The 24846-nt window shown below is 51.2% G+C and overlaps 2 protein-coding genes across 5 annotated transcripts in view, besides 4 other annotated features; both read left to right on the top strand.

Annotated features, from left to right (window-relative positions):
- The window catches only part of NOTCH4 (notch receptor 4), a 29225-nt gene extending 8653 nt beyond the window's left edge, over nt 1-20572 (top strand). For 2 of the 3 annotated variants that reach the window (NR_134950.2, NR_134949.2), the window contains 18 exons: nt 30-189; nt 1160-1305; nt 1575-1727; nt 2163-2280; nt 2504-2591; nt 2788-2941; nt 4479-4663; nt 11026-11278; nt 11533-11645; nt 13915-14298; nt 14409-14584; nt 16270-16489; nt 16685-16757; nt 16856-16994; nt 17821-18116; nt 18343-18490; nt 18994-19091; nt 19265-20572. Coding sequence is in view for 1 of the 3 variants with exons in the window: in NM_004557.4 (NP_004548.3) it covers nt 30-189; nt 1160-1305; nt 1575-1727; nt 2163-2280; nt 2504-2591; nt 2788-2941; nt 4479-4663; nt 11026-11278; nt 11533-11645; nt 12816-13339; nt 13915-14298; nt 14409-14584; nt 16270-16489; nt 16685-16766; nt 16856-16994; nt 17821-18116; nt 18343-18490; nt 18994-19091; nt 19265-19978 (4151 nt within the window). In the remaining 2 variants the exon portion in view is untranslated. Of the gene's footprint in view, nt 1-29; nt 190-1159; nt 1306-1574; nt 1728-2162; nt 2281-2503; nt 2592-2787; nt 2942-4478; nt 4664-11025; nt 11279-11532; nt 11646-12815; nt 13340-13914; nt 14299-14408; nt 14585-16269; nt 16490-16684; nt 16767-16855; nt 16995-17820; nt 18117-18342; nt 18491-18993; nt 19092-19264 lie in introns of all 3 variants that reach the window. The other variant, NM_004557.4, reaches the window with a different exon arrangement.
- Nucleotides 17484-18264: an enhancer, noted in NCBI's record as "H3K27ac-H3K4me1 hESC enhancer chr6:32164928-32165708 (GRCh37/hg19 assembly coordinates)". NCBI's record gives its function as "activates a minimal SCP1, AML or CMV promoter by ChIP-STARR-seq in primed H9 embryonic stem cells {active_cell/tissue: H9 hESC(primed)}" and the evidence as "EXISTENCE:reporter gene assay evidence [ECO:0000049][PMID:30033119]".
- Nucleotides 18265-19046: an enhancer, noted in NCBI's record as "NANOG-H3K27ac-H3K4me1 hESC enhancer chr6:32164146-32164927 (GRCh37/hg19 assembly coordinates)". NCBI's record gives its function as "activates a minimal SCP1, AML or CMV promoter by ChIP-STARR-seq in primed H9 embryonic stem cells {active_cell/tissue: H9 hESC(primed)}" and the evidence as "EXISTENCE:reporter gene assay evidence [ECO:0000049][PMID:30033119]".
- Nucleotides 19047-19827: an enhancer, noted in NCBI's record as "NANOG-H3K27ac-H3K4me1 hESC enhancer chr6:32163365-32164145 (GRCh37/hg19 assembly coordinates)". NCBI's record gives its function as "activates a minimal SCP1, AML or CMV promoter by ChIP-STARR-seq in naive H9 embryonic stem cells {active_cell/tissue: H9 hESC(naive)}" and the evidence as "EXISTENCE:reporter gene assay evidence [ECO:0000049][PMID:30033119]".
- On the top strand, nt 19892-24649 carry GPSM3 (G protein signaling modulator 3). Of its 2 annotated transcripts, NM_022107.3 has the most exons (8): nt 19892-19989; nt 20586-20678; nt 21025-21105; nt 22291-22374; nt 22885-22943; nt 23165-23267; nt 23507-23706; nt 23912-24649. In NM_022107.3, exons 5-8 carry the CDS (start codon nt 22902-22904, stop codon nt 24047-24049), a joined length of 483 nt encoding a protein of 160 aa, NP_071390.1. In that variant the 5' UTR covers nt 19892-19989; nt 20586-20678; nt 21025-21105; nt 22291-22374; nt 22885-22901; the 3' UTR covers nt 24050-24649. The 2 variants fall into 2 exon arrangements, with proteins under 2 accessions (NP_071390.1, NP_001263430.1); NM_001276501.2 differs by lacking the exons at nt 19892-19989; nt 20586-20678; nt 21025-21105; nt 22291-22374 and having other exon boundaries at nt 22772-22943.
- Nucleotides 24293-24471: a silencer, noted in NCBI's record as "fragment chr6:32158721-32158899 (GRCh37/hg19 assembly coordinates)". NCBI's record gives its function as "represses an EF-1alpha promoter that drives an FKBP-Casp9 reporter gene in an ReSE screen in HepG2 liver carcinoma cells {active_cell/tissue: HepG2}" and the evidence as "EXISTENCE:reporter gene assay evidence [ECO:0000049][PMID:32094911]".

Raw genomic sequence — 24846 nt, 5'->3', positions numbered from 1 at the left:
TTTCTTTTTGACCCATCTTCCCACCCCAGGCCAGCTCTGTGAGGTTCCCCTGTGTGCTCCCAACCTGTGCCAGCCCAAGCAGATATGTAAGGACCAGAAAGACAAGGCCAACTGCCTCTGTCCTGATGGAAGCCCTGGCTGTGCCCCACCTGAGGACAACTGCACCTGCCACCACGGGCACTGCCAGAGGTAACATCTTCCAGACCCTCCCCATCTGCCCCCTCCTTTGGGCTCCCTTCGCTAGGACAGGAGAAGACAGCCAGTGAGATGTAGGTCTGTGAGAAATGACCAATGGGGAAAAGGAAGGAGATGGCAAAGTTCTTAGGGCAAGGCAGTGGGAGGGCTCAACTGGTAAGTGTTATCCAAGGAGAAGAGAGTCCACAAAAACTGGTGGAAACAGAGGACCAGGGGGTCAGAGCAGAAAGAAGAGCACTAAATCCCAGGGCGAATTAATCATTCATTAGAAAAATATCTGCTGAGGCCAGGCGCAGTGCTGATTACGGTCTCATGCCGGTAATCCCAGCACTTTGGGAGGCCGAGGTGGGCGGATCACCTGAGATCAGCAGTTCAACATCAGCCTGGCCAACATGGTGAAACCCTGTAGCTACTAAAAATGCAAAAATTAGCTGGGCATGGTGGCGCACCTGTAATCCCAGCTACTTGGGAGGCTGAAGCGGAAGGATCACTTGAACCCAAGAGGCGGAGGTTGCAGTCAGCCAAGATCATGCCACTGCACTCCAGCCTGGGTGACAGAGCAAGACTCCGTCTCAAAAAAAAAAAAAATCTGCTGAGCACCTACTTTGTGTGGCTACTGTTCCAGGCCCTGGGGGAAACACAAAGCAAAAGAGATAAAGCAACTGCTCTCGTAGAGCTTTCATTCTAAAGAAAGACAGAAAATAAGTAAGTTACAGAAAGAATATATATGTGTGTATATATATATATATATATCTCCAACTAGATATATAGATGCATATATCTAGTTGGAGAAAATGAGCAGGTGTTGGGGAGGATGGGGGCGGTGCTGAGAGCAAAGTCACTGAAGAAAGAGGCCAGAATCTCAGGGCCAAAAGAAGAGGAAGTCATAGGGGTCCAGGCAGCAGGGAGGGGAACATAAGCAGTAGGAGAAGAGAAAAACCCTCCCCTTTCTCTTTACAACCAGATCCTCATGTGTGTGTGACGTGGGTTGGACGGGGCCAGAGTGTGAGGCAGAGCTAGGGGGCTGCATCTCTGCACCCTGTGCCCATGGGGGGACCTGCTACCCCCAGCCCTCTGGCTACAACTGCACCTGCCCTACAGGCTACACAGGTGAGACCCTCCCTAAACCATATACACCCTGTGCTGGTCACCCCCTATGTCAAGGGTAAGGCAGGCGACCACGGGCCCTGAGTCTCAGTCACCACTAAGGAGAACTGGACTGCAGGGGACACGGGTGATGTGTGGGAGGTGGTGAGAACGGAGGTTGATGGGAAAGAATAATAGGGTTGGGGATGAGGAAGGGAAGGAAGAGGAAAGAGAAGGAGAGCGGAGGGAGGGAAGGAGGACACCCTTTCTCAGCCCCCACCTGTTTCCTTCAGGACCCACCTGTAGTGAGGAGATGACAGCTTGTCACTCAGGGCCATGTCTCAATGGCGGCTCCTGCAACCCTAGCCCTGGAGGCTACTACTGCACCTGCCCTCCAAGCCACACAGGGCCCCAGTGCCAAACCAGCACTGACTACTGTGTGTCTGGTGAGTGCCCACTGTGTCATGGGGCTGGGGTCCACAGGAGAATGGAAGAACTAAGGAGGGTATGCTTGTGTCATATTTTTTAAAATTTAATTGAACAGACCAGCCTGGGAAACATAATGAAACTCCATCTCTAAATTAGCTGGGCACACAGTGGCTAAGGCCTGTAGTCTCAAATACTTGGGAGGCTAAGGTGGGAGGATGACTTGAGCCCAGAAGGTTAAGACTGCAGTGAGCTCTGATGGCACCACTGCCTGGGTAACAGAGCAAGACCCTATCTAAAAACAATAAAATATCATATAAATAAAAATTAATTGGATGGCAGTGAGCTGTCGTTTTGATGGGGGTGGGGGGTGTATGTCCTATGTACAGTGTGACTGAGGTCACAGGCCAGGTTACAGGCAAGGAACCCAAACCCTCACAGCCTCCTCTCTCCAGCCCCGTGCTTCAATGGGGGTACCTGTGTGAACAGGCCTGGCACCTTCTCCTGCCTCTGTGCCATGGGCTTCCAGGGCCCGCGCTGTGAGGGAAAGCTCCGCCCCAGCTGTGCAGACAGGTGAGCAGGGCCCAAAGACCCCTAGAAGGGAGAAAACCCCTCAGCCTTCCCACCCCTCCTCTCATCTCCCCCTGGGTTCCAGGCTGCCTCCCACCCCACACCTCGTTCCGCCTTCCCTCCTGGCTTGCCACCTCCCTGTGGTTGCCTCCCGACAATATCACACACTACCTTCCCCTTGTTGCCCGAACTTCTTCCTATCATGCCCTGTCTCTGTCTTGTTCAGCCCCTGTAGGAATAGGGCAACCTGCCAGGACAGCCCTCAGGGTCCCCGCTGCCTCTGCCCCACTGGCTACACCGGAGGCAGCTGCCAGGTGAGGGCCATTGAAGTCAGGCGTGCTGAGGAGGGAAGTGGCTGGGAGGGAAACCAGGGAGGGTCACCTGGTCCCAGGCCATTCAGGAGAAGGTTTTTGAAGTAAGGGATTTCGAGGAGCTGGAGTGGGCAGAGGACCATCTCTGGGCTGAGAATCTGATGCTATGTCCTGCCTCACGCTCCCTCCCACCCCTCAGACTCTGATGGACTTATGTGCCCAGAAGCCCTGCCCACGCAATTCCCACTGCCTCCAGACTGGGCCCTCCTTCCACTGCTTGTGCCTCCAGGGATGGACCGGGCCTCTCTGCAACCTTCCACTGTCCTCCTGCCAGAAGGCTGCACTGAGCCAAGGTAACCAACGCCGGCACTGACTGGAGAGCAAATGAAGAAAATATGGGTGTTCTCACCTGCCCCGTTCCTGTGGGCTTCCACACAGCTTTTGGCCAAAACAACCATCTGAGAATCAAAACCACACAGACAAATCAGTTCTTGATTGCAGAGGTGTTGAATTGTGCAATCAGAGAAGCCTAACACAATTCCTGTTACCTCATTTAACGCAATTCAAGCAACACCAACCAGCCCATTCCACAGGATTCCAGTTTAACCCAACCATGAGGGACATGACTCAACGTGGAGCAACTCAACTCTGTCCTGATCATCATAACCCAGGCAGAGTGGACCACACTTAATCCAGCTACACTCAACGCATTTCACCCCACCCCACTCACTTCGATGTCACGCCACCCTCTTTGTAAAAGAACACTAAAATAAGGTTTGATATGAGAAGAGCTCGGGAAAGAGATTATGATGGAGTTAAGGGATAGCTGATGGGAATCACAGGGAGAGAACATTAAAGGAATGCAGAACTCAGGGGACAGACTTAAGCCACTTGTCCTCACTTGAGGCATACCTTGAATTATTTCTTGCTCAAGCCTTGCTTTAAGCCAAGAAAACAGTTGCTTTAACATTATGATAAGCTTTAGGGGTATGTCTCCAATATTCTGGCAGAAAGGGTGAGGAGAGAGGTAAAACTCGATGGTCTAATTTCTTCAGTGCCAGGAGTTATTAACTCCTTGGGCCCAGACCAGTCTCCACCCAGGAATGTTAGTGGTCCCCAAGGTAAAGGCCTCTACACCCAGAGATTGGGCCCTGAATACACCCTTCCTCCTCCTCACATACCTTATTTATTTATTTATTTATTTATTTATTTATTTATTTATTTATTTATTTTTGAGATGGAGTCCCAGTCTGTCACCCAGGGTGGAGTGCAGTGGCACGATCTCGGCTCACTGCAACCTTCACCTCCTAGGTTCAAGTGATTCTCCTGCCTCAGCTTCCCAAGTAGCTGGGATTCGTGTGCCACCATGCCCAGCTAATTTTTTTTTTTTTGTATTTTTAGTAGAGATGGGGTTTCATTATGTTGGCCAGACTGGTCTCGAACTCCTAACCTCAGTGATCCACCCGTCTCAGCCTCCCAAAGTGCTGGAATTACAGGTGTGAGCCACCACGCCCGGCCACATCCCCATTTACCGTTTCTGTTTGTTTGTTTGTTTGTTTGTTTGTTTGAGATGGAGTCTTGCCCTATAGCCCAGGCTGGAGTGCAATGGCACGATTTTGGCTCACTACAACCTGCGCTGCCCAGGTTCAAGTGATTCTCCTGCCTCAGCCTCCCAAGTAGCTGGGATTACAGGTGCCTGCCACAACGCCCGACCAATTTTTTGTATTTTTAGTAGAGACGGGGTTTCCCCATGTTTGCCAGGCTGGTCTCACACTCCTAACCTGGTGATCCACCTGCCTCGGCCTCCCAAAGTGCTGGGATTACAGGCGTAAGCCATGGCGCCCGGCCCCCCACTTATCTTTGTATATCCCTGTTTGTCTCTCTCCCCAGGCATAGACGTCTCTTCCCTTTGCCACAATGGAGGCCTCTGTGTCGACAGCGGCCCCTCCTATTTCTGCCACTGCCCCCCTGGATTCCAAGGCAGCCTGTGCCAGGATCACGTGAACCCATGTGAGTCCAGGCCTTGCCAGAACGGGGCCACCTGCATGGCCCAGCCCAGTGGGTATCTCTGCCAGGTGAGAGGGTCTGCAGGAGAAGGGGGAGGAAAGACAAGGGTGGGCTGGATGGGAGAGACAGTAGTGACTGAGGGAAGACCCAATGTATCCATTTCACCTCCTTTTATTTTTTTTAACCCCACACACCCAACTAACCACAAAGTCATGCCACTTTATCTCCTGAAGTTTTCTCAAGTCTGTGCTTTCACCTTCACCCTTTGTCCCACTGCCTGAGTCCTGACCTTTGTTGCGTTCCAGATAGATACTTGCATCAGCCTCCTAACTACAGTCTCTGCCTCCACACTTGTCCTTCTATAGGTTCAGCCTTTACCCCGTGGCCAGGGTACTCTACTGAAAATGTCCAGTTGACCTGTCTCTCCCCTGCTGAACCTTCGGAGGCTGCCCGCCTCATTCTGAATAAAGTCCAAGGCCTGCATGACCCAGCCCTGCCTGCCTCTCAGGCCTCAGCTCTCCCCATCCCACCCTTCTACTCTCTGCTCCAGCAACATGAAACTGCTGCTGACTTTGCCACGTACCCCATACTGATTCTTGCCTCTCAGCCTTTATCCCTGCTATTGACACTACCTGGAATGGCCTTCCCAACCCCTCTTCCACAGGCTGGTGTTCAGGAGGCATCTTCTTCAGGAAGATGTCCCTAACTTCTCCCCAGGCTGGATTAGGGCCTCTTCTTTGTGGTCCAGGTCACTAAGCCAGGAGAGGCAAAGCTGGCATTCAAGTCTAAGCAGCCTGATTCATATGCTCAGAACCACAACTTTTTTGTGTGTGTGGTTGCCATTTTATTTTCTTTTGTTATTGACAAACGGTAGTCATACGTATCTATGGGGTACATGTGAGTTTTTTGGTTTCTTTTTTTTTTTCTCTCTCGTTTTTGGAGACAGAGTCGCTCTATCCCCCAGGCTGAAGGGCAGTGGCATAATCTTGGCTCACTGAAACCCCCGCCTCCCAGGTTCAAGCAGTTCTCATGTCTCAGCCTCCCGAGTAGCTGGGATTACAGGAACGCGCCACCACGCCTGGCTAATTTTTGTATTTTTAGTAGAGATGGGGTTTCACCATGTTGGGCAGGCTGGTCTCAGAACTCCTGACCTAAAGTGATCCACCCGCTCAGCCTGCCAAAGTGATAAGATTACAGGTATGAGCCACCGCACCTGGACACATGTGATATTTTGATACATGCATACAATGTATCATGATCAAATCAGGGTAATTGGGATATCTATCATCTCAAACATCATTTCTTTGTGTTGAGAACATTTCAAATCTTCTCTCCTAGTTATTTTGAAATACAAATTGTTAACTATCACCATCCTTCTCTGCTATCTAACACTAGAACTTATTCCTTCTATATGACCATAATTTTGTATCCATTAACCAACCTCTCTTCATCTCCCCCTCCCTGCCACCCTTTCTAACCTCTGGTAACCATCATTCTACCCTACTTCCATGAGACTAACTTTTTTAGCTCCCACATATGAGTGAGGAGCAATATTACACATGCAATAGGAGGCTGATGCAAGTATCTACCTGGAATGCAAGAAAGGTCAGGACTAACTAAGGCAGTGGCACAAAGGTGAAGGTGAGAGACATGCAATATTTGTCTTTCCGTGCCTGGCTTATTTCACTTAACATAATGTCCTTCAGTTTCATCCATGTTGCTGAAAATGATAGGATTTCATTCTTTTTCTGGCTGAATAATATTCCATTGTGTCTATATGACACAGTTTCTTTTTTCCATTCATTTGTTGATGGCACTTCAGTTAATTCCATATGTTAGCTATTGTGAACAGTGCTGCAATAAATATGGGGATGCAGATATCTCTTCAAGATACTGATTTCCTTTGGATATGTAATGAACAGTAGATTGATCACATGGTAGATCTATTTTTAATTTTTGAGAAACTTCCATACTTTTCTCCATACTGGCTGTGTTAGTTTACATTCCCACCAACAGTGTATGAGGGTTCCCCTTTCTCTGCATCCTTGCCAGCATCTGCTATTTTTTGCATTTTTTTTCCTTTTCTGAGACAGAGTCTTGCTGTGTTGCCCAGGCTGGATCACAGTGACTTGATCTCAGCTCACTGCAACCTCTGCCTCCCAGATTCAAGCGATTCTTGTACTTCAGCCTCCCAAGTAACTGGGATCACAGGCGTGGACCACCATGCTTGGCTAATTTTTTGTATTTTTAGTAGAGATGGGGTTTCACCATGTTGGCCAGGATGGTCTCGAACTCCTGACCTCAAATGATCTTCCCGCCTCAACCTCTGAAAGTGCTGGGATTACAGGCATGGGCCACCACACTTGGCCCTTGTGTTTTCAATAACAGCCACTTTAACTGGTGTGAGATGATATCTCATTGTGGTTTTGATTTACATTTCCCTGATTTGCATCCATATACCTGTTGGCCATTTGTATGTCTTCTTTTGAGAAATGTCTGTTCAGATAATTTGCTCATTTTTTAAACCACATTATTTGTCGGTGGTGGTAGTGGTGGTGTTTGCTGTTGAGTTCCTTATACGTTCTGATTATTAATCCCTTGTCAGACAGTTTGCAAATATTTTCTTCTATTCTGTAGGTTGCCTCTTCACTCCATTAATTGTTTCCTTTGCTGCACAGACACTTTTTAGCTTGATGTAATCACATTTGTCTGTTGTTGCCTTTGTTGCCTGGCTGTTGAGGTCTTACCCAAAAAACTTTTGCCCAGACCAATGTCTTGAAGCATTTCCCAAATGATTTTTTTTTTTTTTTTTTTTTGAGAAGGAGTCTTGCACCGTCGCCTGGGCTGGAGTGCAGTGGCGCAAATTTGACTCACTGCAACCTTTGCCTCCTGGGTTCAAGCGATTCTCCTGCCTTAGCCTCCCAAATAGCTGGAATTTACAGGTGCCCACCACCACGCCCAGCTATTTTTTTGTATTTTTAGTAGAGACGGGGTTTCACCATGTTGGCCAGGCTGGTCTCAAACTCCTGACCTTGTGTTTGAGGATTACAGGTGTGACCCACCGTGCCCGGCTGAATTTTTTTTTTAGTGGCTTCAAGTTTCCAGCTGTACATGTAAGGCTTTAATCTATTTTGTATATGATGACAGATAGAGATTTAGTTTCTTTTTTTCTTTTTTTTTGGGGGGGGGGGATAGAGTCTTGCTCTGTTGCCCTGTTGCCCAGTCTGGAGTGCAGTGGTATGATCTCAGCTCACTGCAACCTCCACCTCCCAAGTTCAACTGATTCTCCTGCCTCAGCCTCCTGAGTAGCTGGAACTACAGGTGCACACCACTACGCCCGGCTAATTTTTGTAATTTTAGTAGAGATGGGGTTTCACCATATTGGTCAGGCTGGTTTCAAACTCCTGACCTCAGGTGATCCACCCACCTCCGCCTCCCAAAGTGCTGGGATTACAGGCGTGAGCCACCCCGCCCGGCCTAGGTTTAGTTTCTTCTGCATATGGATATCCAGTTTTCCCAGCACAATTTATTGAAGAGAGTGTCCTTTCCCCAGTGTGTGTACTTGGTGCCTTTGTTGAAAGTAAGTTGGCTGGCCGGGAGTGGTGGCTCATGCCTGTAATCCCAGCATTTTGGGAGACCAAGGCGGGCAGATCACAAGGTCAGGAGTTCGAGACCAGCCTGACCAACATAGTGAAACCCCCGTCTCTACTAAAAATACAAAAATTAGCCAGGCATGGTGGTGCGCACCTGTAATCCCAGCTACTCAGGAGGCTGAGGCAGGAGAATCGCTTGAACCCAGGAGGTGGAGGTTGCAGTGAGCCAGATCGTGCCATTGCACTCCAGCCTGGCAACAGAGCAAGACTCCATCTCAAAAAAAAAAAAAGGAAAGAAAAGAAAAAAGAAAGTAAGTTGGCTGTTAAATGTTTGGACTTGTTTTTCTGGGCTCTCTATTACATTCCATTGGTCTATGTGTCTGTTTTTTATGCCAGCACCATGCTGTTTTGGTTACTATAGCTTTATAGTATATTTTTAAGTTAGGTAGTGTGGTACCTCTAGCTTTGTTCTTTTTGCTCAGGACTGCTTTGGCTATTTGGGTCTTTTACAGTTCAGATAAATTTTAGGGTTGTTTTTTCTATTTCTGTAAAGAATATTATTGGTATTTTCATAGGGGTTGCATGACTCTGTAGATCACTTTGGTAAGCACAGACATTTTAGCAGTATTCATTCTTCCAATCCATGAACACAGGATATCTTTCCATTTTTTTGTGTCCTCTTCAATTTATTTCATCAATGTTTTATAGCTGTCATTGCAGTACTCTTTCACTTCTTTGGTTAAATTTATTCATTTGTTTTTATTTTTTGTAACTATTATAAATGGGATTGCTTTCTTGATTTCTTTTTCTGATTGTTTGCTGTTAGCGTATAGAAATGCTACTACTTTTTCTACATTGATTTTGTATCCTACAGCTTTACTGAATTTGTTTATAACCAGTGTTTTCTTTAGGTTTTTCTAAATATAGGATTATGTCATCTGTGAACATGGATAATTTGAGTTCTTCTTTTGCAATTTGGATGCCCTTTATTTCTTTCTCCTGCCTAATTGCTCTGGCCAGGACTTCCAGTATTACCTTGAATAAAAATAGTGAAAGTGAGCATCCTTGTCTTGTTCCAGATCTTAGAGGAAAGGCTTTCAACTTTTCCCCATTCAATATGATGTTAGCTGTGGGTTTGTCATATATGGCTTTTATTATTTTGAGATATAGAACCACAGCTTTTTTTTTTTGAGACAGAGTCTTGCTCTGTCACTCAGGCTGGAATGTAGTGGTGCAATCTCAGCTCACTGCAACCTCTACCTCCCGGGCTCAAGCAATTCACCTGCCTCAGCCTCCCCAGTAGCTGGGATTACAGGTGCCTGCCACCACACCTAGCTAATTTTGTGTATGTGTGTATTTTTAGTAGAGATGGGGTTTCACCATGTTGGCCAGGCTGGTCTCAAAATCCTGACCTCAAGTGATCCACCCGCCTTGACCTCCCAAACTGCTGGGATTACAGGCGTGAGCCACCGTGCCCGGCCAGAACCACAACTTTTGATAGAAGGCTCAAGACAGATACCCTAACCTACCCTCTTTTTTCACTTTTTTATTTTATTTTTTAACCTTTTATTATGAACATTTTCAAACATAAACAAAAGCAGTATACTGATCAGTAGTAAACCTCTGGGCACCCATTACTCAGCTTTACTTATTCTTTTTTTTTTTTTTTTTTTTTTTTTGAGACAGCATCTCACTCTGTTGCCCCGGCTAGAGTACAGTGGCGCGATCTCGGTTCACTGCAACCTCCGCCTCCCGGGTTCAAGCGATTCTCCTGCCTCAGCCTCCTGAGTAGCTGGGACTACAGGGACATGCCACCATGCCCGGCTAATTTTTGTATTTATAGTAGAGATGGAGTTTCACCATATTGGCCAGGCTGGTCTCGAACTCCTGACCTCGTGATCTGCCCACCTCAGCCTACCAAAGTGCTGGGATTACAGGCGTGAGCCACCGCACCCGGCTATTTACTTCTTCTTTTATGAAGCTCCCTCCTCCAAAACACCCCCATCACCTGTTCCTTCCAGCTCTCTGACCACTCCTTGGATTCTCTGTGAATTCCCTTTTCTCTCTTTGAAGCCTGCCTTCCTGGTACTGTACTCTTGCACACTCTCTTTCCTCTTGCAAGAAGCCAGCACGTGGTACAGATCTTGCCAATGACCCTTCTCTCACTAGCTGAGTGGCATGAAGAAGCAGAAAATGGTTAAGAGCATTGGTTTGGAGTCACAGACCTTCATTGATTCCCAGCTCTGCCACCTATAGCTATTTGACTTGCACAAGTCACTAACCTTTCAGAGACTCAGCTTCCTTACGTGCAAAGTAAAAATCGAATGAGATAACCCAAATAAAATGTCATTAGGGGGATTTTTAGGTTATGTATATAAATCATGCAATAAATGCTAGTCATTTCTTTCCTCTGGTTGACTGAGAGCTTCCAGGAAATAGGAATGGGTTCTAACTTTCTTTGTATTCCTAGTGCCTAAAACGGTGCCTGACACAAAGTAGGCACTCAATAGATGCTTATGAATTAATAAAGTATGAGAGAGCCTGGTAGGTATTTAGCAGGGGAGGAAGGTTTTACCAAAAATGGTGCTGTGTTTGGTGGCAGTGTGTCATAGAGATTGTTTGGGACTGGGGAAGTTTGAGTTGTGTGTCGCCAACAATTGTGTCTCATGGGGAGTTGAGATAGAAGGATTGTGACACATGGCCATGATGGATGGTGAGTTGAGTGATGCTGTTGAGCTGGAAGGTGGGGGACTGGACAGACTATCTTGAGCTGGGTCCCTTGTAGTGCTGGGTTGGGCTCATCCACTGGTTCCCTGTCTAATCCTCTTTGTCTGCAGTGTGCCCCAGGCTACGATGGACAGAACTGCTCAAAGGAACTCGATGCTTGTCAGTCCCAACCCTGTCACAACCATGGAACCTGTACTCCCAAACCTGGAGGATTCCACTGTGCCTGCCCTCCAGGCTTTGTGGGGCTACGCTGTGAGGGAGACGTGGACGAGTGTCTGGACCAGCCCTGCCACCCCACAGGCACTGCAGCCTGCCACTCTCTGGCCAATGCCTTCTACTGCCAGTGTCTGCCTGGACACACAGGTGAGGCCCCAAGACAAGGGGCACAAGTGTGTCTGGAGCACAGCCAAGCAGACCATGGAGAGCCAGATAGTCTCCACCCATGCGGCAGCCGTCACCTGGTCCATCCCCTGCCTCCACGCCCACCCCCGCCCAGAAAAGATGCCCCAGGATCCCTTCACCTGCACATCTAGCACTGGGCCAACATCCAGGAATGAGCTAGGATGGAGGCAGTGACTGATGCAGTGTGTGACATCTAATCTCCCCCATAATTACAGGCCAGTGGTGTGAGGTGGAGATAGACCCCTGCCACAGCCAACCCTGCTTTCATGGAGGGACCTGTGAGGCCACAGCAGGATCACCCCTGGGTTTCATCTGCCACTGCCCCAAGGCAAGTGACCACAAATCTGCCTTCTCTGTTGCCCCCTATGCTGACAAGGCAAGAATACCTCAGTTGGAATCCCAGAAGGGACTGTGGGTGAGCACTGATGTGGAAATTATTGGAAAAAGCCATGCCAAGCTCACAGTGGGAAGTGTCTCTCAGAAGCAGTCAAAGGCAAGGCAGGATCAGTTGATAGCATGAATGGAATTTTCAAAAATCACAGGCGTTGCCTAAGGGAAGGTCAGGAGCTCCCCAAGCTCAAGCTGCGTGGTGGGTGGCCTCAGATAGGTTATTTTAACTCTGTGTGTGTTTGTATATGTATTTATGGACCTCAGATGCATGGAATTAGACTAATCTTAAGCTTTGGTTCCTGATACACTGACATTGGTTTATGCCTGGTCTTCTTTTATTTTATTATTCTAACAATGTAACACCCATGAACCTAACCCAAGAATTTCAATATTAATAATAACTTACATCTACTTAAGTCCTCCTCCTGTATCCTGTTCCCTCTCCAGAGGAAGAGGAAGACATATGATCCTATTTCTAAGGAGTAAGATAATAATATAACAGCCGGCCGGGCACAGTGGCTCACGCCTGTAATCCCAGCACTTTGGGAGGCCGAGGCAGGCGGATCACCTGAGGTCGGGCATTCGAGACCAGCCTGACAAACATGGAGAAACCCTGTCTCTACTAAAAATACAAATTAGCTGGGCGTGGTGGTGCATGGCTGTAATCCCAGCTATTGGGAAGGCTGAGGCAGGAGAATTGCTTGAACCCGGGAGGCAGAGGTTGCAATGAGCTGAGATTGCACCATTGCACTCCAGCCTGGACAACAAGAGCGAAACTCTGTCTCAAAAATAATAATAATAATAATATAATAGCATTCTATTAACTGTTTAGTCTTCTAGGACTTGCACTGTAATGCCACAGTCCATCAGGTTGTTGCACACAGCTGTGCTTCATCCATTTTCAACAGAATGTAATATGTCATTGTGTGAAATTACCACAGGACATGGTTTCAACATCCACAAAATGATTAACTTGATGCTCTCTGAGGCGCCTTTTAGATATGAGAATCTAGGACCCTCTGCACCGTCTTAACCCAAGAGTTTGCTTGATGGAGAGCGGGAAGAATAATGCAAGTTGCATCTCCAATATCTCCCCTCCCCTCCACAGGGTTTTGAAGGCCCCACCTGCAGCCACAGGGCCCCTTCCTGCGGCTTCCATCACTGCCACCACGGAGGCCTGTGTCTGCCCTCCCCTAAGCCAGGCTTCCCACCACGCTGTGCCTGCCTCAGTGGCTATGGGGGTCCTGACTGCCTGACCCCACCAGCTCCTAAAGGCTGTGGCCCTCCCTCCCCATGCCTATACAATGGCAGCTGCTCAGAGACCACGGGCTTGGGGGGCCCAGGCTTTCGATGCTCCTGCCCTCACAGCTCTCCAGGGCCCCGGTGTCAGAAACCCGGAGCCAAGGGGTGTGAGGGCAGAAGTGGAGATGGGGCCTGCGATGCTGGCTGCAGTGGCCCGGGAGGAAACTGGGATGGAGGGGACTGCTCTCTGGGAGTCCCAGACCCCTGGAAGGGCTGCCCCTCCCACTCTCGGTGCTGGCTTCTCTTCCGGGACGGGCAGTGCCACCCACAGTGTGACTCTGAAGAGTGTCTGTTTGATGGCTACGACTGTGAGACCCCTCCAGCCTGCACGTGAGCCTGAAATCCACTGGAGCCAGGGAAGGAGAGGGGTGGGTGAGAGGAGGAGGAAGGACGTAGATGGCTCTGAGTTACAGTGTGGCCACAGCCTTGGGCTCCAGGGAGTTTCCACCCTAATAACCATCACTAAACAGGGGTCGAAGACTCTGGACTCCAACCTAGGGTAATGGGGTGGCATCAGTATTTAATGTGGGGCGTGGCCTTTGGGCTCCTCTCTAAGAGTTGAAGGAACTCAGGTCTCAAGCCTCCTTCCCTAAGCCTTGCTGCCATGGAGTATTTCCCCTAGCAGTCAGCACCTCACAGAGGGAAAAGGGCCTGGGACTCTCCTTTAGAAACAGAGGAGAGCTTGGGAGGGTACAGAGAGGGGACAGTCTAGGGAGACAGGGGTGTTAGCAGACATTGGGGTGTCTGGACTACCATCCAGGACTTGACTAAGCTCATTGCTCCACAGCTGCCCCCACTTAGCAACCAAAGCCCTAGAGGGCACAAAATATGGGGAATTCTTTCTAGGGTGAAGAAAAGAGTCAGGTTTTAGGGAGGTCCTGAGTCCCCCTCTCCTTACCCCACAGTCCAGCCTATGACCAGTACTGCCATGATCACTTCCACAACGGGCACTGTGAGAAAGGCTGCAACACTGCAGAGTGTGGCTGGGATGGAGGTGACTGCAGGCCTGAAGATGGGGACCCAGAGTGGGGGCCCTCCCTGGCCCTGCTGGTGGTACTGAGCCCCCCAGCCCTAGACCAGCAGCTGTTTGCCCTGGCCCGGGTGCTGTCCCTGACTCTGAGGGTAGGACTCTGGGTAAGGAAGGATCGTGATGGCAGGGACATGGTGTACCCCTATCCTGGGGCCCGGGCTGAAGAAAAGCTAGGAGGAACTCGGGACCCCACCTATCAGGAGAGAGCAGCCCCTCAAACGCAGCCCCTGGGCAAGGAGACCGACTCCCTCAGTGCTGGGTAAGAAGCTAGGTGGAGGGAAGGGCCAGACACCAGTTTTTTTAAGAGGGCAGAGGGAGGAAAGGGAGCCAGGGACCAATACAGAGGTCTCTGAGGTGCCTCCTCTACAGGTTTGTGGTGGTCATGGGTGTGGATTTGTCCCGCTGTGGCCCTGACCACCCGGCATCCCGCTGTCCCTGGGACCCTGGGCTTCTACTCCGCTTCCTTGCTGCGATGGCTGCAGTGGGAGCCCTGGAGCCCCTGCTGCCTGGACCACTGCTGGCTGTCCACCCTCATGCAGGGACCGGTAGGTGACCCCTTGCCACTTTCTCTGACCTCTGTTCCCAGGCCAGCTCTCATGCTAGCAACAGGCAATGGAGGCTGAATCAAACAGGACAGCTGAGACTGAAAATGTTCTTTGTGGGGACTTACTTTCCCTAACCCCGCTTTCTCTAACTGAATCTCCCACTGGCCCATTTGTTCTACAGTCTCCTTCCTTATTTCCCTAAGCACATTATCCTAACCTCTGTCATAGCCCTCCAACAAAGGGATGGTTTATCTTCTCTACCAGACTGAGAATACCTAATAGTCTTTGTATCAGACAATTCATAGTACATGAAAGAATAATAGGCTGGGCGCAGTGGCTCATGCCTATAATCCCAGCACGTTGGGAGACCAAGGCAGGTGGATCACGAGGTCAGGAGATTGAGACCATCCTGGCTAATGCGGTGAAACCCTGTCTCTACTAAAAATAAAAAAATTAGCCGGCTGTGGTGGCGGGTGCTTGTAGTCTCAGCTACTCAGGAGGCTGAGGCAGGAGAATGGCGTGAACCTGGGAGGTGGAGCTTGCAGTGAGCCGAGATCGCGCCACTGCACTCCAGCCTGGGCGACAGAGGGAGACTCCATCTCAAAAAAAAAAAAAGAAAAATAACTGCTATATCGTACTTTGTGCCTTACTCTAAGCATTTTACATTGTTACCTCATTTAATCCTCCCCCACAACCCCATGAGGCACGTACTGCTGGTTGAGTATCCCTTATCTGAAATGCTTGGGAACAAAAGTGTTTCAGATTTCGGATTTATTTTGGAATATTTGCATTATACTTACTGGTTCAGCATCCCTAATACAACATCCAAATGCTACAATGAGCATTTCCTTTGAGCGTTATGTTGGTACTCTAAAAGTTTCAGACTTTGGAACATTTCAGATTTGGGATTGGGGTTATGGATACTCAGCCTTTTTTTGTGTGTTTGTTTTCTGAGACAGTCTTACTCTGTCAGCCACACTGGAGTACAGTGACGCCATCTCAGCTCACTGCAACCTCTGCCTCCTGGGTTTAAGCAATTCTCTTGCTTCAGACTACTGAGTAGCTGGAATTACAATGGCATGCCACCATGCCCTGATAATTTTTTTTGTTTTTGTTTTGTTTTGTTTGAGACAGAGTCTTGCCTTGTCGCCCAGGCCGGAGTGCAGTGGCGCGATCTCGGCTCACTGCAAGCTCCACCTCCCAAGTTCACGCCATTCTCCTGCCTCAGCCTCCCAAGTAGCTGGGACTACAGGTGCCCGCCACCACACCTGGCTAATTTTTTGTATTTTTAGTAGAGACAGGGTTTCACCATGTTAGCCAGGATGGTCTCGATCTCCTGACCTCATGATCCACCCGCCTCAGCCTCCCAAAGTGCTGAGATTATAGGAGTAAGCCACTACACCCAGCCACTAATTTTTATATTTTTAGTAGAGAGGGGGTTTTGCCATGTTGGCCAGGCTGGTCTCGAACTCCTGGCCTCATATGATCCACCTGCCTCAGCTTCCCAAAGTGCTGGGATTACAGGCATGAGCCACTGTGCCCAACCTCAATCTATATTATCATCCCCATTTTGCAGATAAGGAAACCGAGGCAAAGACCGGCTACTAAACTTGTCCAAAGGTCTCCCAATAGTAATCAGTCTCACCAGGAGTGGCCTCTCTTTGTGACTCTGTCTCTCCCACCAGCACCCCCTGCCAACCAGCTTCCCTGGCCTGTGCTGTGCTCCCCAGTGGCCGGGGTGATTCTCCTGGCCCTAGGGGCTCTTCTCGTCCTCCAGCTCATCCGGCGTCGACGCCGAGAGCATGGAGCTCTCTGGCTGCCCCCTGGTTTCACTCGACGGCCTCGGACTCAGTCAGCTCCCCACCGACGCCGGCCCCCACTAGGCGAGGACAGCATTGGTCTCAAGTGAGAATGAGGAGAAACCCAGGCTCAGGAAGGGGAGTCTCTCCTATGGCGATATTTACAATCAGAAAAGATAAGAAATACTATTGCAGAAGTCAAAGATAGGGGAAGGAGAGAGGGGTGGGAAGCCTGCTGGAAATTTTGGAGACCCTGATGGTCATAATTCCGTGTAACCTCTACCCACCCATTCCTTTCCAGGGCACTGAAGCCAAAGGCAGAAGTTGATGAGGATGGAGTTGTGATGTGCTCAGGCCCTGAGGAGGGAGAGGAGGTGGGCCAGGTGAAAGGGCTGGGGCAAGAATGGTCTGGAGGTGATGGAAGGGATGAAAGGGCAAATCAACCTTCACTGATCCTTGCTGTTACCCAAAGGCTGAAGAAACAGGCCCACCCTCCACGTGCCAGCTCTGGTCTCTGAGTGGTGGCTGTGGGGCGCTCCCTCAGGCAGCCATGCTAACTCCTCCCCAGGAATCTGAGATGGAAGCCCCTGACCTGGACACCCGTGGACCTGGTATGTGAGTCAACCCAGACCAAGAAAAAAAAAAAAAGTCCTTTGACCCTATTAGAATCAGAGAGTCCTTTAATATCAGAACTAGAGGAAATAATTTTAGACTGAGTGCCTTAGAACAATGATTCTCAAAGTGTGGTCCTCAGACAGCAAAATCAGCATCACCTGGGAATTTGTCAGAAATGCAAATTATTGGGCTCCACTACAGAGCTACTGACTCAGGAATTTAAAATGTTAGGCAATCTGTTTTAACAAGCCCTTCAGGTGAATCTGATCCAGACTCGTTTGAGAAAACCACTGCTAGGCCGGGCGTGGTGGCTCACGCCTGTAATCCCAGCACTTTGGGAGGCCAAGGCGGGTGGATCACAAGGTCAGGAGATCGAGACCATCCTGGCTAACACAGTGAAACCCCGTCTCTACTAAAAATACAAAAAATTAGCCGGGCGTGGTGGCGGGAGCCTGTAGTCCCAGCTGCTCTGGAGGCTAAGGCAGGAGAATGGCGTGAACCTGGGAGGAGGAGCTTGCAGTGAGCCGAGATCGCGCCACTGCACTCCAGCCTGGGTGACAGGGCGAGACTCCGTCTCAGAAAAAAAAAAAAAAAAAAGAGAAAACCACTGCCCTGGAATGTCAGAGAATTAAGCTGCAGGTTCCTTTTACAGAGGAAGAAACTGAAGTCAGAGAAAAGCAGAAAAGTCACTTGGCTAAAGCCACACAGAGCCAGAACTTAGCTTCCCAACACCTCAGGTTTTGATTCTCTCTGAGCTTACATGTTGTCCCTTCCCCCTTGTTGTGTCCTTTAGATTGACCCATTACTCTGTCTTACCAACAGATGGGGTGACACCCCTGATGTCAGCAGTTTGCTGTGGGGAAGTACAGTCCGGGACCTTCCAAGGGGCATGGTTGGGATGTCCTGAGCCCTGGGAACCTCTGCTGGATGGAGGGGCCTGTCCCCAGGCTCACACCGTGGGCACTGGGGAGACCCCCCTGCACCTGGCTGCCCGATTCTCCCGGCCAACCGCTGCCCGCCGCCTCCTTGAGGCTGGAGCCAACCCCAACCAGCCAGACCGGGCAGGGCGCACACCCCTTCATGCTGCTGTGGCTGCTGATGCTCGGGAGGTCTGCCAGGTTAGCACACACTGAGGTCCCTACAGGGAATGGGGCGAGCTTACAAGTAAAGCTGGACAGAAGCATCCCCTAGAGTTTGACAAGGAGGAAATTGGTGTGATTGGGAACCTGACAGGGAAACTGCGGAGGATGGCTGAATATGGATTGCGAGTGGGGTTAATAGTGTAAGGAACTCGAGTTGGCAGTCCAAGGTACCCCAGGGGTCACTGGCCCTCTGTCTCCCCAGCTTCTGCTCCGTAGCAGACAAACTGCAGTGGACGCTCGCACAGAGGACGGGACCACACCCTTGATGCTGGCTGCCAGGCTGGCGGTGGAAGACCTGGTTGAAGAACTGATTGCAGCCCAAGCAGACGTGGGGGCCAGAGATAAATGGGGTATGTAGAGGAAGGGGTGATGTATGCTATAGAGAAGTTGAGCAGATGGGGTGGGAGATAGCGTGCAAAATATAGGTGCAGCAGAGGGGCATTCCCTCTCATCCTGCTGTTACGGCGGTCAATCTGAGATGCGGTGGAAGTACGGGCCGCGTGAGTTTCCCCCCCCAACTCCCACCCTCAACACCACACTGGCCCTCCGCTCCAGCTTACTGGGGAACTGGCATGGAACACAGTGTCTGTGGAAAGGGGGGGGAATCTCGTGGGGGGAGACTGTCTCCCGGTCTCACCGACCCCAGAACAATGCCCCATTGTCCCTCCCGCGCACTGGTGACGTCACCAGGGCAACACTTCCTGCAGGCCGGTGGTCTCCTGGGCAACGCTTCCCGCCTTTGAGGGACCAGCCGGCCCGAATAGCCCTTCCCCCAAGGCCAGAACCCGTGGGAAACCGGAACCCAGGCGTCTGGCCCCCAACTGGGGTAACAACCTCCCACGTCGTCCCCTAGGGAAAACTGCGCTGCACTGGGCTGCTGCCGTGAACAACGCCCGAGCCGCCCGCTCGCTTCTCCAGGCCGGAGCCGATAAAGATGCCCAGGACAACAGGGTTAGATGGGACAGAGGGCTTCCCACAAAACAGTCAGGCGCACGAGAGATGGAAAGTGCGGTAACCCGCAAAGCCTGAAGGGATAGGGGCCAGTGGTCGCGCAAGTGAAGGCAGAAAGGCCCAGTCCTGTGGGCGTGGCCTTCCCTGATATCGGCCCTGGCTCTTCTGTACAGGAGCAGACGCCGCTATTCCTGGCGGCGCGGGAAGGAGCGGTGGAAGTAGCCCAGCTACTGCTGGGGCTGGGGGCAGCCCGAGAGCTGCGGGACCAGGCTGGGCTAGCGCCGGCGGACGTCGCTCACCAACGTAACCACTGGGATCTGCTGACGCTGCTGGAAGGGGCTGGGCCACCAGAGGCCCGTCACAAAGCCACGCCGGGCCGCGAGGCTGGGCCCTTCCCGCGCGCACGGACGGTGTCAGTAAGCGTGCCCCCGCATGGGGGCGGGGCTCTGCCGCGCTGCCGGACGCTGTCAGCCGGAGCAGGCCCTCGTGGGGGCGGAGCTTGTCTGCAGGCTCGGACTTGGTCCGTAGACTTGGCTGCGCGGGGGGGCGGGGCCTATTCTCATTGCCGGAGCCTCTCGGGAGTAGGAGCAGGAGGAGGCCCGACCCCTCGCGGCCGTAGGTTTTCTGCAGGCATGCGCGGGCCTCGGCCCAACCCTGCGATAATGCGAGGAAGATACGGAGTGGCTGCCGGGCGCGGAGGCAGGGTCTCAACGGATGACTGGCCCTGTGATTGGGTGGCCCTGGGAGCTTGCGGTTCTGCCTCCAACATTCCGATCCCGCCTCCTTGCCTTACTCCGTCCCCGGAGCGGGGATCACCTCAACTTGACTGTGGTCCCCCAGCCCTCCAAGAAATGCCCATAAACCAAGGAGGAGAGGGTAAAAAATAGAAGAATACATGGTAGGGAGGAATTCCAAAAATGATTACCCATTAAAAGGCAGGCTGGAAGGCCTTCCTGGTTTTAAGATGGATCCCCCAAAATGAAGGGTTGTGAGTTTAGTTTCTCTCCTAAAATGAATGTATGCCCACCAGAGCAGACATCTTCCACGTGGAGAAGCTGCAGCTCTGGAAAGAGGGTTTAAGATGCTAGGATGAGGCAGGCCCAGTCCTCCTCCAGAAAATAAGACAGGCCACAGGAGGGCAGAGTGGAGTGGAAATACCCCTAAGTTGGAACCAAGAATTGCAGGCATATGGGATGTAAGATGTTCTTTCCTATATATGGTTTCCAAAGGGTGCCCCTATGATCCATTGTCCCCACTGCCCACAAATGGCTGACAAATATTTATTGGGCACCTACTATGTGCCAGGCACTGTGTAGGTGCTGAAAAGTGGCCAAGGGCCACCCCCGCTGATGACTCCTTGCATTCCCTCCCCTCACAACAAAGAACTCCACTGTGGGGATGAAGCGCTTCTTCTAGCCACTGCTATCGCTATTTAAGAACCCTAAATCTGTCACCCATAATAAAGCTGATTTGAAGTGTTACCTTTTTTTGGAGGAATTGGGGAGAAGAATGGGAAAAAAGATGGGAGTGACTGCATAATGTCAGCATTTTGTGCTTTTGGCTCAGCATTTGGATTGGATGGAGGATGTAAGTATAGTTTAAAAGCAAGAATAAGTATATTTAGGGGCCCTATGATAATTTAGGGTATTATCTGAAAGCAAGAATCTAGTAGCCAAGGGAGAAACCGCACACACTAGGTCAGGGGTCCCCAACCCTTGGGCCACAGACTGGTACTGGTCCATGGCCTCTTAGGAACTGGGCCACACAGCAGGAGGTGAGCAAGCATTACTGCCCAAGCTCCACCTCCTGTCAGATCAGCATAAGCATTAAATTCTCATAGGAACTCGAACCCTATTGTGAACTGTGCATGCAAGGGATCTAAGTTTCTCGCTTCTTACGGGAATCTAATGCCTAATGATCTGGGGTGGAACAGTTTCATCCTGAAACCAGCCCTCCGTCGCCACCGACCATGGAATAATTGTCTTCCACGAAACTCTTCCCTGGTGCCAAAAAGGTAGGAGACCACTGCACTAGATGATGCACACACTTTGTCCCTCATCCTAGGGCTTTTACTTATGGCCACTTAGGAGATTCCTAAGGCCACAAGTCAAGTAGATGGAGAGAGTATCTTGAAACTTTGTCCACCTTGCAGCAATATGTTGCTAGGTTTGAAACATGGAGTCATGAGGCATTTTGAAAGCCAATAATATCTACAGTTTATTAAGTATTCACTATGCATCAAGTGCTTCATTACATTATTAATACATCAACCCTATGAAGTAGGTGCTATTAAAACCCTATTTCACTCAGAAATTGAGGCACAGAGATCTGCCCAAGATTGCAAGGAATAAGCGGCAGGACCAGATCTCTTCATCACATTTCACATTCCAAATCACTCAGCTATAAACTCCCTAACATGACAGGTTGCCATTTAGAGGTACCAAATGGTTGTCTGCCCTGCTCCTTCCTTGATGCCAACCAGCCTGATTAGCATTGATCAAAGACCAAGCCAGAGAGGTAGTCCTCTCCCTTTTCAATTTCATTTCATTTCTTTCTTTTTCTGAAACAGGGTATTGCTCTGTTGCCCAGCCTGGAGTGCAGTGGCACAAATGGCTCACTGCAGCCACAACCTCCTGGGCTCAAGCAATCTTCCTACCTCAGCCTCTCATTGTTCCATATCTATATCTCTTATGCCCAAAATAAAATTTCCCCTGCCCCTTGTCTGCACTAAACTATAAGTTTCCAAAATGAACCCTTCCCGTACTCTATTTGGTACACATCTTGTCTCCTGAATAGAGTGTATTTTTTATTTTATTTTATTTTGGAGACGGAGTCTCGCTCTGTCACCTAGGCTGGAGCGCAGTGGCACAATCTCAGTTCACCGCAACCTCCGCCTCCCGGGTTCAAGCAATTCTCCTGCCTCAACCTCCTGAGTAGCTGGGATTACAGGCGCATGTGGCCACGCCCAGCTAATTTTTTGTATTTTAGTAAAGATGGGGTTTCACCATGTTCCCCAGGCTGGTCTCCAACTCCTGAGCTCAGGCAATCCACCCGCCTCAGCCTCCCGAAGTGCTAGGATTACAGGTGTGAGCCACCGCAGCCGGCCATCTCCTGAATAGATTTTAAATACCTAGAGGTCAGGGATGATTATTCAATACATATATATTGAATACTTACTATGTGTTGGACCCGGTGCTAGGGTTTTATGTATATATTTGAGAGCTCCACATCCCTGGATCTGAATCCTCCACTTCCCACTGGAACCATGCCCCTCCCAGTCCCGGTAAGTAAGAGGGAAGATCGGGAGGGCCAAATCCTACACCAGGGTCTATCTTAGGGAGGGAAGGGACCTGGCTGGGGGGAGGGGGATTCTGAGGAGTGAAACCACTTCCTGTGTAGCTAGTTCCTGTGTTGACAGAAAGAGCAGAAGAGGAGGTGGGGTGGAGGGAGCAGAGCCAGGGATTAGGGGACTACTGAGGCTCTGGAGATGAGACCGCCAGGAGTCCTTCCCCACCATGAGCCCCCTCCACTCCTGCAGCTGGAGGAGTTTTTCCCAGTCTCAGTGCTGCCCTGGGGCGAGAGAGACTGAACAAGCTGTTTGGGTGGGAAGAGAATGGAGGAAGTTGACAGGGATGGGCGGGGCCCGTGGGGGGGCTGACCAGGAACCCAGCTTCCTGCTCAGTACCCAGGCATCCAGCCCCCAGCTCACCCCCACCCCTTCCAGCCCCCACTCCCCTCAGGAACCCAAGGTTCCAGCCCTCCTCCCAAATCCCAGCCACCCCTCCCCCACCAGTTTCTCCCCTCTAGGGGATGGAGGCTGAGAGACCCCAGGAAGAAGAGGATGGTGAGCAGGTGAGCTGGGCACGGGGTTGGGGAGGCTGACACTGGGAAAGAAGGGAGGTGAGAGGACCTGGGGCAGAAATGTAGGGACACAGGGGCCTTGAAAGGCTTGGGCAAACTGAGGCAGGAACAGAGACACACAGAGAGGAAACGGGCCACTGGCCTAGCCCCCTGTCCACTCCTCCCGCTTCAACCACCACTGCTTGACTAGAATGGACATATTTTGGCATCAGGGCCCCCCTCAGGATGAGGAAGGCTGGCCCCCTCCAAACTCCACCACTCGGCCTTGGCGATCTGCTCCTCCATCCCCTCCTCCTCCAGGGACCCGCCACACAGGTACCCCTACCCACCCAGGGAGAGCCCCGACCCTAGTGCCCACATCCTGACCCCATTACCAAGGCCCACTCCATTGTGGGCCCTCTCCCCACCTCCTCCAGACTCCCCTTGGGATTCCCCATTGCACCCCCTCTCCTCTGATCCAAAGTCCCTAATCACGTCACCCTGTCCACACTCCCCCACGGCTCCTGTCTGCCAACCTCTCTGGGTCTCTGAGCCCTCCACACCCCTCTCCCCAGCCCTGGGACCCCGCTCGGCCTCCCTGCTCTCCCTGCAGACTGAACTCCTTCTGGACCTGGTGGCTGAAGCCCAGTCCCGCCGCCTGGAGGAGCAGAGGGCCACCTTCTACACCCCCCAAAACCCCTCAAGCCTAGCCCCTGCCCCACTCCGTCCTCTCGAGGACAGAGAACAGCTTTACAGCACTATCCTCAGTCACCAGGTAAGACATCCCCCCAGGAGGCAAACCCAGGCCTCCTGGTCTCTTGGCCCCTGTTCTCTTTGGGGCTCTACTCCTGTTTCTCCCTAGGCACCCCATCGCCTTCACAGGTTTCCTATATGCCTCCCCATACCAACCCTTGATCCTCTCAAGAACCTCCTCCTCTCAGACCCTCACCAAAGCTCTCCCTCTCCCTCCACTCCTCCAGTGCCAGCGGATGGAAGCCCAGCGGTCAGAGCCTCCCCTCCCTCCAGGGGGGCAAGAGCTCCTGGAGTTGCTGCTGAGAGTTCAGGGTGGGGGTCGAATGGAGGAGCAAAGGTCCCGGCCCCCCACACACACCTGCTGAGACTTGAGCCCCAACCAGCCCTTCCTTGCCACTGGTCTCAAAGCTGGGCAGCCCATTGCATGCCCTCAACTCTTGCTTGGCAGGGGTACCAGAGACTGAAAGACACGGCACAAATCTCAATATTCATCTCCCACATCACCTTCCCTGGGAACTGGACAGGGTGAAAGTCCTCAAACTCTGGGAACAGGCGAGATGGAACAGGGATTTAACTCCCCGCCCACAGGTCCATGGGAGCTTGAGGCAGTAAGGGGGATCCCAGGCACCCATCTCAAGGAGTGGCTGGGAGTCTTTTCCCTAACTTGTGGGGACACCACCAGTTGTCAAGCTACTAGGCAGTAGGGTCTGAGGGCTCAGGCCTCCACCTGAGAGGTTATAACCTGAGAGACAGCTCTACCCTTCCTCCCAGTAAGAAGGGAAGGTGGGTGGGCACCTGAGAGATTAAGACTATTCTCCCAGTCCCACTACCAGCACCCCCGATCCCTGAGACTGAGGGGTTTACGGGCTGTGAATGGACCTTCAGCCCTGCCCACCCTCCCTCCCCACTGCTGCTGAGTCTGTCTGATGTTTTGGTTGTGTGAATAAATATAATTCCCCTCTGGACTGCAGACTGGTATCTGGGGGGCCCAGGCGGGGTGAAAGGTAGGAAGGTGAGGCCAGAGGCCTTTTCTCTCCCCAGTCTGGCCAGAGGCCAGCTCCCCTCCCCGGCTGGTTAATTACTGGCTCATTAAGCAGCGGCTGGAGACCTCCCTAATTATCTCCCCCAGCCCCCCTCTTCGGTTTTAATTAAGTAGAACAGG

The sequence above is a fragment of the Homo sapiens genome, chromosome 6 (genome assembly GCF_000001405.40).
Source record: "Homo sapiens chromosome 6, GRCh38.p14 Primary Assembly".
Lineage (NCBI taxonomy): Eukaryota > Metazoa > Chordata > Mammalia > Primates > Hominidae > Homo > Homo sapiens.
The sequence above is the reverse complement of the archived record's forward strand: the minus strand, read 5'-3'. Positions and strand labels throughout refer to the sequence as shown.

Coding starts and splice junctions, on each gene's coding strand:
- GPSM3 (NM_022107.3), top strand. CDS start 22,902: ATGGAGGCTGAGAGACCCCAGGAAGAAGAGGATGGTGAGCAG. Junction 22,944..23,164: donor AAGAAGAGGATGGTGAGCAG/GTGAGCTGGGCA, acceptor TTTTGGCATCAG/GGCCCCCCTCAGGATGAGGA. Junction 23,707..23,911: donor GCACTATCCTCAGTCACCAG/GTAAGACATCCC, acceptor CCACTCCTCCAG/TGCCAGCGGATGGAAGCCCA.